Source organism: Homo sapiens, chromosome 11 (genome assembly GCF_000001405.40).
Source record: "Homo sapiens chromosome 11, GRCh38.p14 Primary Assembly".
NCBI lineage: Eukaryota > Metazoa > Chordata > Mammalia > Primates > Hominidae > Homo > Homo sapiens.
In genome coordinates, this window is record NC_000011.10 from 62,788,957 (window position 1) to 62,806,777 (window position 17,821).

Below are 17,821 nucleotides of genomic sequence, written 5' to 3' on the forward strand. Positions count from 1 at the left end.
CCTACCAAGAGACTGTATCTAGAGACATTAACCTGAAATCTAGGACTCAGCAGCTTCTCTCCACAGGGCTCCTTCAGTGGTAGATGTCCCCTGTATGGTGTGGCCACCCTGAATGGCTCCTCCCTGGCCTTATCCCGTCCCTCAGCACCATCCCTGTGCTACTTTGTAGCTGGGGCCTCTGGCCTCTTGGCCCTCTACTGCCTCCTGCTTTTGCTCTTCTGGATCTACAGCAGCTGCATCGAGGACTCCCACAGGTGACTGCCTAACCCTGAGGGCCAGGGGCTGAGGTAGGATGAGCCTCACCTCCACCACAAGGCTTGTTCTCTCCCTTTCAGAGGTGCTATAGGGCTGCGCATTGCACTGGCCATCTCAGCTATAGCCGTCTTCCTGGTCTTGGTGTCTGCCTGTATCCTTCGATTTGGCACCAGGTCTCTCTGCAACTCCATCATCTCCTTGAACACTACAATTAGGTAATGGGAGAGGGAGGGAAGCCTGGCTGGGGCTGACTACCTTCCCTCTGCAGCGGGGTCCTATAATTTCCTTTTATCCCCATCAGTTGCTCTCAACTCACAGGGCACTGGGCACAGGTGTGCCTCGGATATAAACTATCACGCTTTCTCACAACTGTCTCTTTGACCTCACAGCTGTTCTGAAGCCCAGAAAATTCCATGGACACCCCCTGGAACTGCTCTGCAGTTTTACTCCAACCTACACAATGCTGAAGTGAGACCCAAGGATAGGAGGAAAAACTGACATAAATATCTGTAGCTGTGTGGGTGCTCACCAGTGTATTGTGAGCTTGGCCTACCAGTGAGAGGAGCTGAAGGGGTTGTCAGCTTAAAATTCAGCAGTTCAGAGTGGTGTGTGGGTGGGAAGGACTGGATTTGAAATGGTCCCACTCCTGACGATCCTGTCCCTGTCTCCTACAGACCTCTTCTTGGGTGAATTTGGTATTGTGGTGTGTGGTCTTGGTGCTCCAGGTCGTGCAGTGGAAGTCTGAAGCCACCCCATACCGGCCTCTGGAGAGGGGTGACCCTGAGTGGAGCTCTGAGACAGATGCTCTCGTTGGGTCACGCCTTTCCCATTCCTGAAGAATAAGCGGAGTGCTTCCTGCAGCCGAAGACTCCATGCCCAAGTGCCTGTAATCCCCCCCCTCAAGGCCCTGTTTATGTTGGGAGTCTTAGTTTTCCTTTCGTTGGGGGGTGGGGGGGAAACATAATGACAGGCCCCCCTCCACCTCTTCCTGCAGCTGTTTTTGTACCAAAATATTATATTACTGTCTTCATCTTAGTAGTGAGTTTTTGATGTTAAAGTACAACTAGATAGGAGGAAGGAGTGAAGGCTAAGCAGACATGGACTGAAACTTAGAGGTACTGTTAGGCAGCTGCCCTAGGGATGACTGCTCCTTTATTTGTTGTTAATGAATCTTGACCTCCTTGTGTGACCCTGGTTGTTACTCCATTCTAAGATTGGCGTTTTTTTTTGTTTTTTTTTTTGTAAATAGAGACAAGGTCTCGCTATGTTGCCCAGCCTGGGCTCGAGCAGTGCTCCTGCCTCACCCTCCCAAAGTGCTGGGATTACAACAGGTGTGAACCAACACACCTGGCTCCCCAAGGTTCAGTTTTTATCCTCCTCTTGGAGAGGTGAGTGACTTGAGGTCATTTCTTCACAAGCTCCGGTAGGCACCCACAGTATTGTCAAAGAGTTTTGTGTTAGGGAAGTGTCCAGTTTTGTCCAAGAGGAAATAGAAGCGTCGGCCTTTGACTTTCAGAGGTAGCATGGCAGGGACTTCACCCCGGTGGGCCATGCAAGATACCTGCTTCAAAGGAACTGTGAAATGGGCCCCCAAGCCAAAGGGGGCATGAGTGGTGAGGGTCACCTGCTGCCCTCCAGCTCGAAGCACCACTGAGCGCACAGACCGGAGAGAGAAGAGAAGACCAGCACCGAGTACGAGGGCTCCTGCAGGCAGGGCAGAGATTGGGGTGAGGGGTTTTCACTGGGCATCTAAGTACCGACCTTTCCAGTGCCCTCTGAATAAGAAATTTGTGGGATGAAAGTAGTATTTACTGAGCGCTTTTTTTTTTGAGACTGAGTCTCACTCTGCCGGCCAGGCTGGAGTGCAGTACTGAGCTCCTGTTATACCCAGTAATCTTGTTATTCCTCCCAACAACCTTAATAGATGTCCGTTTCCATTTTAATGGGAAGATGGAGAGCTTTAAGGACCTTGCTCAAGGTCGCAGAGTGAAGGGCAGCCCTCAGCCTAGGCTATGACAGGGCACGGCGCTCGGAGACATCACTGTTTCCCAATTTTTTTTTTTGAGAGGGGAGTCTCGCTCGGTCGCTTAGGCTGGAGTGCAGTGGCGTCATCTCGGCTCACTGCAACCTCCGCCTCCCAGGTTCAATTGATTCTCCTGCCTCAGCCTCCCGAGTAGCTGGGACTACAGGCGCTTGCTACCACGCCCAGCTAATTTTTTGTATTTTTAGTAGACACAGGGTTTGACGGTGTTAGCCAGGATGGTCTGGATGTCCTGACCTAGTGATCCGCCCGCCTCCGGCCTCCCAGCATTTGAGCCGCCGCGCCCGGCCAGTGTTTCACATTTCTGTGGGGTAAAGCCCGCCCGCCACTCTCGGATAGGGAGTCCCTGACTCTCCCTGCCTGTATAGGGAAGGTCGTGTCCCGCCACCCCACGTTGTCACAGTGGGAAGCCAGCCCACGTCTTACCGATGGCGCCGCAGCCGACGGCCAGACCGTAGCGCCAGAGCGCGGAGCGCAGGTCGAAGGGGCCACGATTTGGGACCTCCGCATCCAGAGGCTGCACCGGAACCGGGGGCCGGGACACGGCTGCCACAGCCATGGAAGCCCAGAAGACGCCCTGGCCCGCGCAGAACAGCCCGAGGATGGTGAAGAAGCGGCCCCGATCATGCTCAAAGAGCAGCACATCCCGTTGCAGCGTCGTGCCTTGCAGGGGCCGGCAGGTGAGCAGGGGCCGCAGCACGGCTAGCAGCCCCGTGGGCCATCGCCTCCAAGGCGCCGCCATGGCCAGCCGACTTCCGGGGTGGGGCTTCCTGCCGCAGAGCCGCCTTCCGCCCTCCCTGGGCGCCCCCGCTAGAGGGCCCGCCCCCCTCGCTCAGGGCTGGGAGGAGACAACCAATCCAGCACGCAGAACACGAAATACAACATCACTCTTTATATTAAAAAGTGCAGAACACGAAATACAACATCACTCTTTATATTAAAAAGTAAGGAGGTCCTGGGGTTAAGTACACAAAGCACCTAAGTCCTTCGGGTAGTTTAGTGTCAGTTCTACAAAGTAAGCTTTGGCTTCCTGGCACCAGTGAGGCTCAATCTTCTGAAGTCTTCCAGAAGGCAGGCGAGGAGAGGGATCAGGCAGCCCTCCCTCCCTCGGTCACAGTCACGGGGCGGCCTCGGGCCAGACAGGAGGAGATGACAGACGACAACCAGACGGTAATATCCAAGGACTATTTACAGGGGGGACTGCTTCTGAGGCATGACTACGATCACTTCATGAATGCCACTTCTGGGATCTCGCCCTTGGCCTGGAGAAAAATGAAGGTCAGTAGAGGTAGGCCTACCCTCGCCACTCAGCAACCCCACTCAGCTAACCTGACCTCCTGGAGGCCCAGAGATCCTAGTCTTTTTGCCACTGTATTTCCAGACCTTACCTTGAGATGAGTGAAGGCCTGGGCAGATCTGGTGTAGTCCCAGTTGTTGTCCTGAAGGCACCTGGAGTGGAAGAACAGGCAGCTCTGTAAGAACTCTGACTCGTAAATGCCAGCTGAAAGTCCACTCCATAAAAGCACCCAAGTTTGCCAACAAATATGTACATTCTTATACATCCTTGCACTATTTATACAAATGAGACATTAGTAAAAGTCCAGATGTTCTACCAATGGCTTCTCAAAGATAAGGAATATTAAATAGCTGTCAAGAAGCTCAAGATAGTTTTTACAGTGGTAGGGAAAGATGTTCATGGTGTAAGTAAAGAAACTAAGTTGCAGAACAGTATATGAAAAGGAACTTCCATTTTACCTTTAAAGTTTTTTATGTTAATTTATACACAGGCAAATTTTTTATAGACTATCAGGTTTGTGTTTTTCTGTTTGCTTTTTTTTTTTTTTTGAGACCGAGTCTTGCTCTGTCACCAGGCTGGAGTGCAGTGGCGTGATCTCGGCTCACTGCAACCTCCGCCTTCCAGGTTCAAGCAATTCTCCTGCCTCAGCCTCCCGAGTAGTTGGGACTACAGGCGTGGAACGCCAAGCCCCGCTAATTTTTGTATTTTTAGTAGAGACGAGATTTCACCATGTTGTCCAGGATGGTCTTGATCTCTTGACCTCGTGATCTGGCCGCCTCAGCCTCCCAAAGTGCTGGGATTACAGGTGTGAGCCACCTCTCCCAGCCAACTATTAGGTTTTTTTAAGCAGCCAAAAGTTTTGCCTTTTAAAATTTCAGGAGCCCAGGCACAGTAACTCACACCTATAACCGCAGCACTTTGGGAGGCCTAGGTGGGCAACATGGTGAAACCCCATCTCTGCAAAGAAATACAAAAAAATTAGCCAGGTGCTGTGGCCTATGCCTGTAGTCCCAGCTACTCAGGTGGCTGAGGTGGGAGAATCACCTGAGCCCTAGCAGTTGAGGCTGCAGTGAACTGTGATCACACCACTGTACTCCAGCCTGGGCATCAGAGTGAGACCCTGTCTCAAAACAAACAAGCAAATAAAAATTTGGCTGGGTGCAGTGCCTCATGCCTGTAATCCCAGCACTTTGGGAGGCCGAGGTAGGCAGATCACAAGGTCAGGAGTTCGAGACCAGCCTGGCCAACATGATGAAAGCCCGTCTCTACTAAAAAAAAAAAAAAAAAAAAAAAATACAAAAATTAGCCAGGCATGGTGGTGTGTGCCTGTAATCCCAGCTACTCGGGAGGCTGAGATTGGAGAATTGCTTGAACCCGGGAGGCAGAGGTTACAATGAGCCAAGATCGCACCACTGCACTCCAGCCTGGGCAACATAGCAAGACTCCACCTCCAAAAAAAAAAAATAATAAAATAAAATAAGGTGGCACATGCCTATAGGCCCAGCTACTCTGGAGGCTGAGGTGGGAGGACAGCTTGTGCCCAGGAATTAGAGGCTACAGTGAGTTATGATCACCACTATACTCCAGCCTGGATGACAGCGCAAGAACTTGTCTCCAAAAAAAAAACAAAAAAACTGTCAGGAGCCCTCATTATTTACTACTAGCCCTACTTCAGTGCATCCCCATCCTACACATGCCCCGCACTCACTTCTGGGACCACTCGAGGTTCATGCCAGACTGGGTAGAGAATGCTTGCAACATTTCCTGCTGCTCTGGAGAGAGGGTGGGCACCGGGCTGGAGGAAGGCGTGGGTGCAGGCATAGCGAAGGCTCTTTGGATCTCTTCAGAACTGGCATTCCGCACAAATAGCTCATCATTTACAATACATAGCCTTGAGGACAAAGAGCACTTAAAAAGCTAGACAGAGATAACATCATCCTCCCAACATCATTCCTATTCTCTGATTCTTTCAATATCCACAAGGTCCCCCTCCCACTCTTAGCTATTGTTACCTTTTATCATTTATCCCCTCCCATGGAATCAATGTTTGGAAGGATTATCTACTAAACACACTAGGGTTCTCCCAACGCATGGACTTTAGCTCTTTTAATTCATCCTCACAACAAACTTAGGAAATGAATATTGTTATATGAATTTTCAGATGAGGCAGCAGCCTACTTGCTAGAAGTGGTGGAGCCAGGATGAAAACCCAGACGGTACAATTCCAGAGCCAAGCTATTAACTGGCTCTTAACTACTATGTGAGCTTTCTCTGATTTCCTGTTGCCTTTCTGAAATCACCCCAAAGACTGACTCTACCCTCCAATTACCACACTGTTGGCCATGGATTAGGACTGGTATCCAATGCGAAAAGCAGAATACTTACCCTGAATTGCTAGCAGGAACAGCAATGAATGTCCGGGTGAAGGCTCGCAAAGAATCCCGGGACTTTCCGTCCACTGCAATAAGAACAGCAACAACACCTTAGGGTCACTAGTGCTTTATGTTTACAAACAGCTTCTTGAATCATGGTCTTTGATATAAAGAATCCTAGCAAGTCAGAGAGGAATGATTAAGTATATAAGGGTATAAGGGAAGCACAGGTGGGGTGAAGGGTCAGGTCAGAAAGGACAATAGTAATAACTACGGCCGGGCACAGTGTCTCATGCGTATAATCCCAGCACTTTGGGAGGCTGAGGTGGGCAGATCACGAGGTCAAGAGATCGAGACCATCCTGTCCAACATGGCGAAACCCCTTCTCTACTAAAAATACAAAAATTAGCTGGGCGTGGTAGTGCGCACCTGTAGTCCCAGCTACTCGGGAGGCTGAAGCAGGAGAACCACTTGAACCCAGGAGACGGAGGTTGCAGTGAGCCAAGATTGCGCCACTGCACTCCAGCCTGGTGATAGAGTGTGACTCCATCTCAAAAAAAAGTAATAACTACTAATCCACTGATAGCATCTGTATGCCAGGCCCCAGGCCAAGCACTTTGTAAGTCACTTCAGTTTACTTCCTATAGCACCACTATGAGACGGCTATTACTAACCCCATCTTACAAATAAAGAATCTGTCTTAGAGGTAATGTTACTTGTCCACAGCCCCGCACAACCAAAACTAGGATGGAAACTAAGAACTGCCTGACTCCAAAGTCCTCCTAATCCCCAGGCTTTTCCCACATCCAGACAGGACAGGTGGAGAGGTAGGCCAAGCCAAGACGGCTTGGGGGCAGAATGGGAGAAGGAGCTCAAAAAGAAAATGGGAGAGAAAGTAGCTGGGAAGCTAAGAGTGCTGAGGAAAATTCCAGCTGGGGGTGGGACCACGCTACAAACTCGGGACTCTAAAGATTCTTACCTTCCTTGAAGACTCCATTGACAGAAAAACACAGCAATGTGCTCTGAAAGAGAAGCAGCATCAGGTACAATGTACACTTCTCAGAGCCTGAGTGCCCCCCCTTGCCTATTAAATGCCACCCCCACCCCAATTCTAGGCTTCTGTCAGGCGCAAGCAGGAGCTTACTGTCTGGGCGCTTATGTCTACCACGAAGGAATTGACGTCGTGCTGGGTTTTGGGCAACTCATTGAGGAAGGCAACAACGTTGAGACGCGTGTGCTTCAGCAGCCGGAACCGCAAGGCTGTGGGTAGAGGAGAAAGCTCAGTGGTGCTGCCACACACTCCTGAGTTCTGACTGATTCCTTCCCATGCCCTTTTCCCATATTTTGTTCGTATCACACACTTACTAGGGTCTTTAAGCTTCTTCACATTTCTGCTATCCTTGAAATACTCGGCTAAGCTGCTTCTGGGGGAATAAAAGGAATGGACGTGGTGTTCAGAGCAGTGCTGCCAGCAGGTGTGCCCTGTATCTGCTGGGAAACCCAGTGGTCCCGGGCAGATTCTGGGATGTGATACTAACCGGGCAGGGTTCTGAGGAATGAAAGGAATGCTCAGGGAACAGCAGGCCCCATCATGGTAGGCATCCAGGAGCCCTTGTCGGTCTCCAGAGTCGTAAATTGCATAGTACCTATGGGAAAAACAAAAAAGAAAGTATGGGCTCTGTGGTCTACAGCCATACAAGGACCCAGTAGCTCCCAAGAGTGAGTTGTGGCCGGGCATGGAAGCTCATGCCTGTAATCCCAGCACTTTGGGAGGCTGAGATGGGTGAATAGCTTGAGCCCAGGAGTTCAAGACCAGCCTGGGCAACATGGCGAAACCCTGTCTCTACTAAAAATACAAAAAAAATGGCTAGGTGCGGTGGCTCACGCCTCTAATCCCAACACTTTGGGAGGAAGAGGCAGGTGGATCATGAGGTCAGGAGTTGGAGACCAGCCTGGCCAACATAGTGAAATCCCATCTGTACGAAAAATACAAAAATTAGCCAGGTGCAGTGGCACACACCTGTAGTCCCAGCTACTGGGGAGGCTGAGGCAGGAGAATCACTTGAACCCTGGGAGGCAGAGGTTGCAGTGAGCCAAGATCACACCATTGCACTCCAGCCTGGGTGACACAGTGAGACACTGTCCAAAAAAAAAAAAAAAAACAAAACAAAAAACAAAACAAAAAGATTGATGTGTGCCTGGGTCTGCCCACCATTCCCCCTCAACCTCGGGGTGGGGAGGGGGGACCCTGGGATACTTACTGTTGCAGGAAGTGCAAGACCAGACTCTTCAAGTTTTCTGTTCCAAAATAGCTTCCCTGAAATCAAACAGGTATTAGGAACATGGAAGCAGTATTCTCTCCACACACAAGTTCTTACTCTGTCCATGCTTCCTACCTTGCAGGGCGGTAACGTCGTGGGGGCTTCAACATCAAAGGCAATTGGTGGGGGTAGCTCATGGCCATCCTGTGGAAAGGAAGTAAAAGTTGACAGTGTAGACTGGGCCCAGTGGCTCACACCTGTGATCCCAGAACTTTGGGAGGCCGAGGCAGGCAGATGGCTTGAGCTCAGGAGTTTGAGACCAGCCTGGCTGGACAACGTGGCAAAACCCATCTCTACCAAAAAAAATACAAAAATTAGCTGGGCATGGTGGTGCGTGCCTGGAGTCCTAGCTACTTGGGAGGCTGAAGTGGGAGGATCACTTGAGCCTGGCAGGCGAAGGTTGCAGTAAGCTACGATTGTGCCACTGCACTCCAGCCTGGATGACAGAGCCAGACCCTGTCTCAAAAAACAAAACAAACAAAAAAGAAAGTTGACAGTTTAAACCAGAGAGAAAAAGGCTGGGTGCATAAGTAGACTGAAGAACTAAGAGAGAAGGGTCAGAAGTCAAGTGTAAACGCATCATGAAAAGTATCCAGGGATCCAGGCTGGGCGCAGTGGCTCACACCTGTAATCCCAGCACACTGGGAGGCCAAGGTGGATGGATTAGTTGAGGTCAGGAGTTCAAGACCATCCTGGCCAACAAGATGAAACCCCCATCTCTACTAAAAATACACAAAGAAATTAGCCGGGCATTGTGGCACATGCCTGTAATCCCAGCTACTCAGGAGGCTGAGGCAGGAGAATCACTTGAACCCAGGAGGCAAACGGTGCAGTGAGTCAAGATTGCACCACTGCACTCTGGGTAACAGAGCAAGACTCCATCCAAAAAAAAAAAAAAAAAGGGCCTGGTGCGAGTGGCTCACGTCTGTAATCCCAGCACTTTGGGAGGCCGAGGTAGGTGGATCACCTGAGGTCAGGAATTCAAGGCCAGCCTGGCGAACATGGTGAAACCCTGTCTCTACTAAAAATACAAAAATTAGCCAGGTGTGGTAGCACATGCCTGTAATCCCAGCTACTTGGGCTCAGGAGGCTGAGGCAGGAGAATCGCTTGAACCTGGGAGGCAGAGGTTGCGGTGAGCTGAAATCATGCTGTTGCACTCCAGCCTGGGCGACGAGTGAAACTCCGTCTCAAATAAAAAAAAAAAAAAGAAAAAGAAAAAGAAAAAGAAACCTATCCAGGAATCCTTGTGAGTGAGAGATGCTGTGCTTGTTAGAATGAAAAAATTATGGACTTACCAGGCGTAGTAACTTGGGAAATCGTTCGCGAATGGCGCTGTCAAGAACGGGACAGAAGTGAGTGATGCTTCAGAGCCACCGTGCCTCCTGGGCTGCTCTAGGAGCAAATATACCAAACCCGAGGGACAGCCCATCCCATCCTGCTCATCCCTCCACTCCCTCCCAGCCTGTGCTCAGGGAAAAATGGCCCCCACTCCCCACCTGACCCGGGGCACCCAGACATGGACTGCCTTGAAGGCTGTCTCTTTTCTCTCTGCCTGACCCTGAGTGTCAAGGAGCAGTACTCCAAGCCCAGGCTTTAAGCCCAGGACCTCTTTCCCCTCCCTGCCCCCCTTACCTTCCACCTACTCACCTGTGCAGCCCCGGGAGGAGGGAATGGGGTGGGAGCCCAGGGGCTCCGCTGCCTCACCAGGTATCCATCAGTTCTGCCAGGTCTGGCTTTGGCCAAGACCCAAACACACCACAGGGATGGCACAGGATGTTGGGGCAGGGAGATGAGCAGGTGGGGCTCAGGAAGAGGAGAGGCAAAGGAATAAGAAAGGAAAAGGAGGAAAAAGAGAAAAAGGCAAGATGGGGCAGGGGCAAGGGAGAGATGGGGAGGTATAGGAGACAGACAGAAAAAGGAAAGAGAAAGCAAAGAAAAAGAGAAAGAACTACAAGGCAAAAAAGCATCTAGAAAAATGAGGGAGAAAAGGGAGAAAGACACCCTGACACAGCCCTTTCTTTCAGCTGCCCCATCCCTGTGGTCCAAGGTAGAAATGAGAAACAAATCCTTGCTGTGGTGAGTGGGCACTTGCTGTTGGCCAGGTCTCTGTCTGCTACCTGGGTCCCGATCTGAACTGGGCGTGGGAAGCAAAGCAGCCATGGGGGCAGGAGACCTCCCTCAGAAGGTGTGAGGGTTCAGGCCCCTGTAGGATTGTGGGGGTGAGGGTCCATGCCCCACCTCTGTTGCCCCCAAGTTCTCTCCTGATGGCCCCTCTGCGACTGTGCCTGTCTTAGGTTGTTCCTTCCCTGAGGAATCTTACCCGTCTCTGGCTAACCAGCCATCCACCGGGGCCAAACAGGGTGACGTGCAGTGTGTGAGTGAGGGAGAGGCAGCGCCCCCGAGGGGGTCAGTTCTCTGTCTCCTTGGTAGCCTATGCCCCCGTGGCCTCCACGCCCAGCACCTGCCTTGGGATTCCCTCGCCTGCTGGCGGGGCCCCAGCTCTGGTCACATCTTGGGGAACCCAGGTTTCTTCTTCAGGGAGAGCCCAGCTCATAGCACTGGGCAAGAGAGACAGATTGCATGCCACCAGCCCCTAGGAGGCCTCAACCTCAGCATGGACAGCAACAGCCCTGGGCAAGTGGATCCTGAGAAAAGGGTCCCTCTTGGCGCAAGGGCAAGAGGGGCCATCACAGTACAAAGGAGGGAAGGCCCATCTCAGTAGGAAGTCCCAGGTAGGGAGGGCTTCCTCAACCCATGGACACCAGGCTCTTGGCACAAGGCAACCCCATCTATAGGGTATGTACAAGATACCCTCTGGTTAGAGTAGAAAGGGGAGATGCCTTTCCTGGAACAACAGGGTAGGGAGATTCTAGAAAAGGTTGTGTTCAGGAAGAAAGAGAAAGGCCACAGACCCAGCAAACAGATAGTCAAGTCAGAAGAGAAGAGAGAACATCTCAGGACAAAGCTGGAAGACACAGACAGACCAAAGTGGGGAGCACGCGATCCTCTCAAAGGACAGGTGGTTCCAGCTCAGGGCTGCACATCTCCGCAGACGGGCCCTGGTCAGGATGCATTAGCTCAGCCTCCCAGGGGGTGAAGGTCCCCAGGAGGGGAGACACAGGCTACAACTGACCTGATGTAGGTGGACTGGTCTCGGAAGGTGTCACACAGGGAGTTTCCATCGAGCCAGAGCTCTTCTAGCTTCAGCCCCTTTATCTTGTCCAATTCCCGCTCAGACTTCAACTGCAAAGGGTGGAAGGAACAAAGGGAGGAGACCCTGGTGAAGACAGCCAGCTGGCTCCCCATACCCCCAGTCCCTACGCTTAGCTCTGAGATCTTTTCTAATCTTTTAAAATTTTTTCTTTTTTTTTTTTTTTTGGGACAGGGTCTCACTCTGTCACCCAAGTTCAGTGCCGTGGCATGATCATAGTTCACTGCAGCCTCAAACTCCTGGACTCAAGAGATCCTCCCACCTCAGACTCCTGGGTAGCTAGGACTACAGGCATGTGACATCATGCTCGACTAATTTATTTTTTAAATTAAAAAAATTTTTTTGAGACAGGTTGCTCAGGCTAGAATGCAACGGCACAATCATAACTCACTGCAGCCTTGAACTCCTGAGCTCAAGCAATCCTCCCACCTCAGCCCCCTGGGGCAGCTTGGACTAGAGGCGTGCAAACTCCTAGCCTTAAGTGATCCTCCTGCCTTGGCCTCCCAAAGTGTTAGGATTAGAGTTGCAAACCAGCACATCTGGCCTGAGTTCTCTCTCTTGCCTCTTGCCATCACTGGACAAACTCTCTACACCCTCTACCCACCCCTTCAAAAATATAGCCGAGCTATCAATTCTCACTTCATTTCCAGAAAGGTTTAGGATCTTCAGGTTGGGTGCCTTCTGAACAATGCTAGACATGTCATCCAGCCTGTACAGCCTGTTGTTGCTCAAGTTCAAGGACAATAGCTGTGAGGAGAGAAGAGTTTAGAGGAGGCACCACCAGCAAGTGGATCAGAGACGAATCTGCCCTCCAGCCACTTCCTATCTAACACACCCTGCTTCCTCATGCCTAATACTGGGCCAAAGGCCTTACCTCAGGGATGTTCTCTTCAATGATCCTCAGGGTAGCTGCCATACAGCTTCTGCGATTCAGGACAACGTCAATGTTCTGGGCCACCAAATCTTCAGGAAGCAGAAGGGAAGGAAAGGGAAGACTGAGAGGGTTTGCCCATGCCAGCATTAGCAGTAAAACATCCTCAAACTTTCCCTCCCTGACAGATCCCACCTTATCACCACCTATCTGAGAACTACTGCTGTCAACCATACCTGGGTCTGAACGGAGGCCTTTGAGGTCAAGGGCTTGTTGGGAGCCATCGTATCGTTTGCTCATGATCAGCTAGAGGAAAAAGAAGGGTTTAGTGGTCACTGGGTTTGTGTGTGGGGGGTGGGGGTGTGAGAAGTAGTAAGACTGGGTTGGAAACATCTAATTTGAGCCTGCCTCACCTTTAGCTGTTCTACTTGTTCTGGCTTCAGTTCATTCAGTATAGTGTGGGGTGGAGCAGAAGAGTTGATGATGATAGATATCTGGAGGGAAGACACAGAGGGCACAGAAAACTCTAGGGAAGCCTAAGCCGCAAGAACAAGACCCAGTCCCTGCTCTGAGCACCAACCTCCACCTCCAGCCAAGCCAGGCCCTTTAAACACACCCTTCGGTTCTCCCGATCCAAAATCTTATAGTTGACAGCCTTCAATGCAGAGGCAGTACTGGCGTCTTCAACGAAGAACTGGGCCCGTGTATTCTCATAGTGAAACTACAAGAGGAAACAGGAGCATTACACTGGGAGTCCAGAGCCCTTGGGGAGGGGCATTACGCTGGGAGTCCAGCTTGCCCCTTCACCATCCCTGGTGCCTGGCCAGCCAGCCACTCAGGCCTTGTCTTACCTCAATAGGGGTGAAGGGCACACTGCACTTGCTCTGAATCATGCTCAGGAGCCATGCCTTGTCATACTTTCTGCCATAAGGAATCTAGAAATGAGAGAAAGAGAAAAGAAGGGAATGATAAGTAAGGCTGAATAGCAGACCCAATACAATGCCTTTTATACCTTCTACCAAACTTTTAAAGACTATCTAAAGAAAGGACCAGTACTAGGTTTTCTACTTGAGATACACATAGATTCTTTAACTCCTTTCTGTCTACTTACACTTACTATTTTTTCTTAGTAACAGGGCCTCACTCTGTCACTCAGGCTGGAGTGCAGTGGTGCGATCATAGCTCACTGCAGCCTTCATTTCCTAGGCTCAAGCGATCCTCCTGTCTCAGCTTTCTGGAGTAGCTAGGACTACAGGCATGTACTACCATGCCCGGCTAATTTTAAAATTTTCTGTAGAGAAGGGGTCTTGCTGTATTTCCCAGACTGGTCTTGAACTCCCAGCCTCAAGTGATCCTCCACCTCGGCCTCTCAAAGTGCTGGGATTACAGGCATGAGCCACTGTACCCAGCCCATTTACACTTATAATCTCTCAAAAAAAAATCAATTTTATTTATTCTAAAAGTTCCAAGATATTATTTACACCTTGCCTGCCCCTCAGAGAACTCCAGGGCACTCCAGGGACTCCAAGCCCCACACTCAGCCTGAGCCAAATGAAGACATCCAGAGGAATTACTCCCTCCCCCAACCAAAATTTTCATATTTCTCTTCCACCCCTTCTCTGAACCTGCTCTAAGGTGTTGGAAGATACTGATTCCTAGGAGAAAAGATAGATACTTGAGTGTGGAGTAATCAGATGACAAGGAGAATTTTTGGGCTGGGTGCGGTGGCTCATGCCTATAATCCCAGCACTTTGGGGGGCCAAGGCGGGCAGATCATGACGTCAGGAGTTCGAGACCAGCCTGGCCAATACAGTGAAACCCCGTCTCTACTAAAAATACAAAAATTAGCCGGGCGTGGTGGTGGGTGTCTGTAGTCCCAGCTACTCGGGAGACTGAGGCAGAATAGCTTGAACCCGGGAGGCGGAGGCTGCAGTGAGCCGAGATCACGCCACTGTACTCCAGCCTGGGTGACAGAGCAAGACTCCATTTAAAAAAAATAATAATAATAATTTTTGTGGAATAAAATTAAACATCTCCACTCTCAGCGTGGCCTCCTATCTCTACTGTACCATCTACTTTCTCAAAGTACTCACTGTAATCTTGAACCAGTTCTTTGAGGTCCCATCCTGGCTGGTGCCAGCCCCTCCTCTCTCTGGAGGAGCTCTGTCTCTCCGCACAGTAACATGAATGCGATCTCGATCATGCCAAGTATCACCCCGACGGTTAGGTCGGGTGGTATAGGGGTTGCTGTGGGTAAGCAGAGAATAAAATGACCACAAATGCTAGGAAAGTCTTCTCAAAGGCCTTCCTGCACTGTTAGTGGGACTACAACTAAGACTGTTTAATCACTAAGCTAGTCCTGGCATTTCTCACTCTAACAGGTGGGAAAGGAAATGACATGGACAGTAAAAGGGCCATATAATCTCATGAGCCACTAAATTCAAACCAGACCAACTGGTCACTCACTATCGTACTCGGGGACCATCCTGGGCATCACTCATTGCCACATCTCCATCATCTTCCTCAAGGCGGGAAGACCGAATACCAGAACCGCCTCTTCCAGACCTACGGTTTCCTTCACCATATTTCCACCGGAAGGGACCCCGGCCTTTCTTCTTTCTTTGAGGGAAATTAACGCGTTCATCATCGTGTTCTAGAGTTAGAAACAGGAACACAAATTAGAAGTAAGTAACTGGTCCGGTTTGGTGTGGCAATCATAGCTTCTAGTACTCTGAACTATTGGAAGAGATACATACTAACGACAGAGGCCATCTCCATGCAAACTCCGCTCCCTATCCACAGGAAAGAACCCTCTCTGTGGGAGGGCAGCATCAGGGAAAAGTTACTGGAAAACTGTGTAGGGCTTTTGAAAAATGAAGTAGAAACTGGAATTAGAGAGAAGCAGGATGTAGAAATGTGAGACCCAAAAGTGTAACTGAACACAAATCAGACCTCTGAAAGCCACCTGAAATCTGCCACTCAGTACTTTGTCTATACAGTGCAGACGCCAGTTACAAATATGACCAGTTTAAGGATCCTCTAAAAATTCTCCTTGTTCTCAAACTGCCACTTTGAAGTTTTGTGAGGAGCTCTTCGTTTCCATGGCCAGAAATGTCCTTTAACTCAGGAGACAAATTCTAGACTCAGGCTCTAGTGGCAGTGCCAGGCTAGGGTGCTTAACCAGGGACCCTGGAATGCTCTCCAGGAAGATGACCTTCTGATTCATGCTGTGTAGGACTGGCGTCTTAAAAAAGGTCCCTAACTCCCAAAAGAGGTCTGCCTAATACCCAGCACTCTGTAAACAATGAATCTCAACAAATGACCCTAGGAAAAAAGAACATAGAAGGCGCAGCTAACATTCACTGAGAACTTTCTCCAGTGCCGGCCACTATGCTTCAGGCACTTGATAGGAATGATCTCATTTCCCCTCCCCACACACACTCTTAAGAAATGCTGTTGTTATTCCACATTAAGGGGGTGGAAAACGAGAGTTTTAAATTCACGGTTTCAACCTCCACCACGCACTCCTAACTTACTACAAAGAACTAACACCCAGTGTAGTGTTCAGACTAGAATATCCAGTTGATGTGTAAGTCTCGAATATTAAGCCAAAGCCCAGGCCCGAGAGTTCAAGACCGACTGGACGCAGTAAAAAATAGGGCATCAGGGCAGCCCACGAGCAGGGCACTCACTCACATTAAAGGAAGAGTCAGGCCGCCAAACCTAACTGACAGGCATCAACCACCCACAAAGTTCAAAGGAATCCCGTCACCCTACCCCCGAGCCATCCGCTCCGAGCCGCAGGTCCCCCAACACCAGGATGCCAGCAGGAATCCAGGAGTCAACAACTCGGGTGTCCACCTCGAGTGCCCGGCCCCCCGCGCGCCGCTCCCCGCGGACGCCGGGCCCCTAGCGGCCTCACGCCCCGGGGGCTGAGGCCTAGGCCGGCGCCGCCCACCCGCGCCCCAGATAGCCAGTTCCCGACCCGAAGACCAGCACTTACCGCTGTACGACTTCCCCTCGTCCGCCATGCCACAGCGAAGATCAAGGGCGGGCTCAGGCGCTGGCCGCTACGCCGGCAAACAACCTAACTCCCAAGCGCTCAGGACCGAAGTGTCCCTACGCCGGGCGCCACCGCATTTATACAGCAAAGCACGTCGCGCGCCGCTGACGTCCCAGGCTGTGGGCGGTGCCGCCGCCCGGAGAAAGCGCGGCCCCCTGCGCGTGCGCACACTTAAGGCCGTCGTTCGAGGGGCGGGGCCTGGCCCTCCACGCCCCGCCCAAGACCTGAACTTGCGGAACCCCGGCTGGCAGCCAGCATGTCCCCGCACCTTTTCATCTGTCCGCTGACGCTGCCCTGGCAGCTTCAGAGTTAGTGCTAGAGCACAGTGCTGCCGCCGCAGCCCAGAACTCAGTGAGGAAGGGGGCCGCACAAAGGGCTTCAGAGGAATGGAGACCGCGCCTCCAGGTGGGAGTGATGGCTCAGACCCCTACCGGAATCTAGCCAGTGTTTCAGCTCGGCTCCTTGTCTATACCTCGCTTTCTTCGCCTATAAGATGGATTAACAAATCACGAAGTTGAGAATTAGAATGTGAGCTCGAACGTTGACTAATTAAGGGCTTTTTTTCCTCGAGGGCTTGACTCGGCAGGTACTATGCCTGGCACATGGTAAAAACTCAACATATATTTGTGAAATAAATGAATTTGTGTTATGAATTTCCCCCACCCCGCCCCGCCCTGAGTTGCTGAGTCAAATGATACGACATCTGTCAGGGGTTTGGCGAGCATTGTCTTCACAGACCTTCCATCAATGGCGTCCCCTACTAGAAACCCATCGTGTCAACGGGGCAGACAGTGAAGCTCACCAGCAGTGGCAACTTGCTGGAGATGCCGAGGAGGACATTTTAAAATATCAGGGCCTTGGGCTCTCCTAGACCCCCAAAAGCACCACCACCAGCCCCTGACTGTTGTCTCTATAGCTTCAACTTCCTTTGGAATGTATGAGACAGGGGCACTCGAGTGACCTCAGAATGTGGTTGTGAGTCTCGGTCAGGAAGAACAAAGCACACTAATCTCCCTGGACGGTGGGTATTCTGGGCAGGTGTCTCCATTCTCTGTGACTGGCTTTGATTTGGTGAAGTGCTTGGAGGGAATCAAAAGCCTCAACTGGAGTTGGGAACAAATTCTTCACCTTCCACTCCTGGAAGCAGGCAGAGCTTCTGCCTCGCTTAGCTCAAGGAAGAATTACGGCCAAATAGTTGGAGGATACAGATGAAACAGGTCCAAACACTGCTTGAGATAGTCCTGGAAGTTGCCCCCAATCAGGGACCCCCTCTGGGATCCTGCTCCCCTGTGTGAAAGGAAGTTTCCACGCTAATGAAGTGTTGCAACACTTGGTTCTCCCCTGCCTAGAGGCAGCTGTGTGTCAGAGCCCAAAATAGCCTGTGTCAGC

General features: G+C 51.0%; 3 protein-coding genes and 2 non-coding genes across 15 annotated transcripts in view, besides 5 other annotated features; 2 read left to right on the forward strand and 3 right to left on the reverse strand.

Annotated features, from left to right (window-relative positions):
• Positions 1 to 1,444, forward strand: part of TMEM179B (transmembrane protein 179B) — a 2,999-nt gene extending 1,555 nt beyond the window's left edge. Inside the window, exons 2-5 of one of the 4 annotated variants that reach the window (NM_199337.3) lie at positions 67 to 254; positions 336 to 470; positions 645 to 723; positions 930 to 1,444. In NM_199337.3, coding sequence (NP_955369.1) covers positions 67 to 254; positions 336 to 470; positions 645 to 723; positions 930 to 1,091 — 564 coding nt within the window. In that variant the 3' untranslated portion in view covers positions 1,092 to 1,444. The remainder of the gene's footprint in view (positions 1 to 66; positions 255 to 335; positions 471 to 644; positions 724 to 929) is intronic. The other 3 variants (NM_001363600.1, NM_001363601.1, NM_001363599.1) reach the window with 3 other exon arrangements.
• The window catches only part of TMEM223 (transmembrane protein 223), a 20,887-nt gene extending 17,837 nt beyond the window's left edge, over positions 1 to 3,050 (reverse strand). For 3 of the 4 annotated variants that reach the window (XM_047427581.1, XM_047427579.1, XM_047427580.1), the window contains exon 1: positions 2,723 to 3,050. In XM_047427581.1, coding sequence (XP_047283537.1) covers positions 2,723 to 3,038 — 316 coding nt within the window. In that variant the 5' untranslated portion in view covers positions 3,039 to 3,050. Of the gene's footprint in view, positions 1 to 1,014; positions 1,960 to 2,722 lie in introns of those variants that run through there. The other variant, NM_001080501.3, reaches the window with a different exon arrangement.
• Positions 859 to 929, forward strand: MIR6748 (microRNA 6748). Its single transcript, NR_106806.1, has one exon. It is a non-coding gene; the product is annotated as a microRNA 6748 (primary transcript).
• Positions 2,450 to 2,959: an enhancer, noted in NCBI's record as "active region_4849". NCBI's record gives its function as "activates an Ori minimal core promoter by ATAC-STARR-seq in GM12878 lymphoblastoid cells {active_cell/tissue: GM12878}" and the evidence as "EXISTENCE:reporter gene assay evidence [ECO:0000049][PMID:35858748]".
• Positions 3,030 to 3,179: a silencer, noted in NCBI's record as "silent region_3431". NCBI's record gives its function as "represses an Ori minimal core promoter by ATAC-STARR-seq in GM12878 lymphoblastoid cells {active_cell/tissue: GM12878}" and the evidence as "EXISTENCE:reporter gene assay evidence [ECO:0000049][PMID:35858748]".
• Positions 3,174 to 16,484, reverse strand: NXF1 (nuclear RNA export factor 1). Of its 5 annotated transcripts, none has more exons than XM_047426247.1 (21): positions 16,373 to 16,484; positions 14,836 to 15,022; positions 14,463 to 14,616; positions 13,221 to 13,304; positions 12,986 to 13,090; positions 12,783 to 12,863; positions 12,606 to 12,675; positions 12,373 to 12,461; positions 12,138 to 12,245; positions 11,421 to 11,530; positions 9,583 to 9,619; positions 8,362 to 8,430; positions 8,227 to 8,282; positions 7,504 to 7,611; positions 7,331 to 7,389; positions 7,110 to 7,225; positions 6,945 to 6,987; positions 5,979 to 6,051; positions 5,302 to 5,442; positions 3,685 to 3,745; positions 3,174 to 3,558 (listed from the first exon to the last, which is right to left on the reverse strand). In XM_047426247.1, exons 1-21 carry the CDS (start codon positions 16,398 to 16,400, stop codon positions 3,520 to 3,522), a joined length of 1,818 nt encoding a protein of 605 aa, XP_047282203.1. In that variant the 5' UTR covers positions 16,401 to 16,484; the 3' UTR covers positions 3,174 to 3,519. The 5 variants fall into 5 exon arrangements, with proteins under 5 accessions (XP_047282203.1, NP_006353.2, XP_047282202.1 ...); NM_006362.5 differs by having other exon boundaries at positions 5,302 to 5,484; XM_047426246.1 differs by lacking the exon at positions 16,373 to 16,484 and adding an exon at positions 15,126 to 16,133.
• On the reverse strand, positions 3,746 to 3,815 carry MIR6514 (microRNA 6514). The gene has a single exon (NR_106769.1). It is a non-coding gene; the product is annotated as a microRNA 6514 (primary transcript).
• Positions 16,277 to 16,776: an enhancer, noted in NCBI's record as "H3K27ac hESC enhancer chr11:62572705-62573204 (GRCh37/hg19 assembly coordinates)". NCBI's record gives its function as "activates a minimal SCP1, AML or CMV promoter by ChIP-STARR-seq in primed H9 embryonic stem cells {active_cell/tissue: H9 hESC(primed)}" and the evidence as "EXISTENCE:reporter gene assay evidence [ECO:0000049][PMID:30033119]".
• Positions 16,743 to 16,932: an enhancer, noted in NCBI's record as "active region_4850". NCBI's record gives its function as "activates an Ori minimal core promoter by ATAC-STARR-seq in GM12878 lymphoblastoid cells {active_cell/tissue: GM12878}" and the evidence as "EXISTENCE:reporter gene assay evidence [ECO:0000049][PMID:35858748]".
• Positions 16,953 to 17,002: an enhancer, noted in NCBI's record as "active region_4851". NCBI's record gives its function as "activates an Ori minimal core promoter by ATAC-STARR-seq in GM12878 lymphoblastoid cells {active_cell/tissue: GM12878}" and the evidence as "EXISTENCE:reporter gene assay evidence [ECO:0000049][PMID:35858748]".

What these genes read in the sequence shown, in the direction of transcription:
- NXF1 (XM_047426245.1), bottom strand. Translation starts at nt 15,201, where the DNA reads ATGCTGCCCTCCCACAGAGAGGGTTCTTTCCTGTGGATAGGGAGCGGA. An exon ending in GTCTTGCACTTCCTGCAACA is followed by an intron (nt 7,612 to 8,226) that starts GTAAGTATCCCA and finishes TTTTTCCCATAG; the next exon opens with GTACTATGCAATTTACGACT. An exon ending in CAATGGAGTCTTCAAGGAAG is followed by an intron (nt 6,052 to 6,944) that starts GTAAGAATCTTT and finishes TTCTTATTGCAG; the next exon opens with TGGACGGAAAGTCCCGGGAT.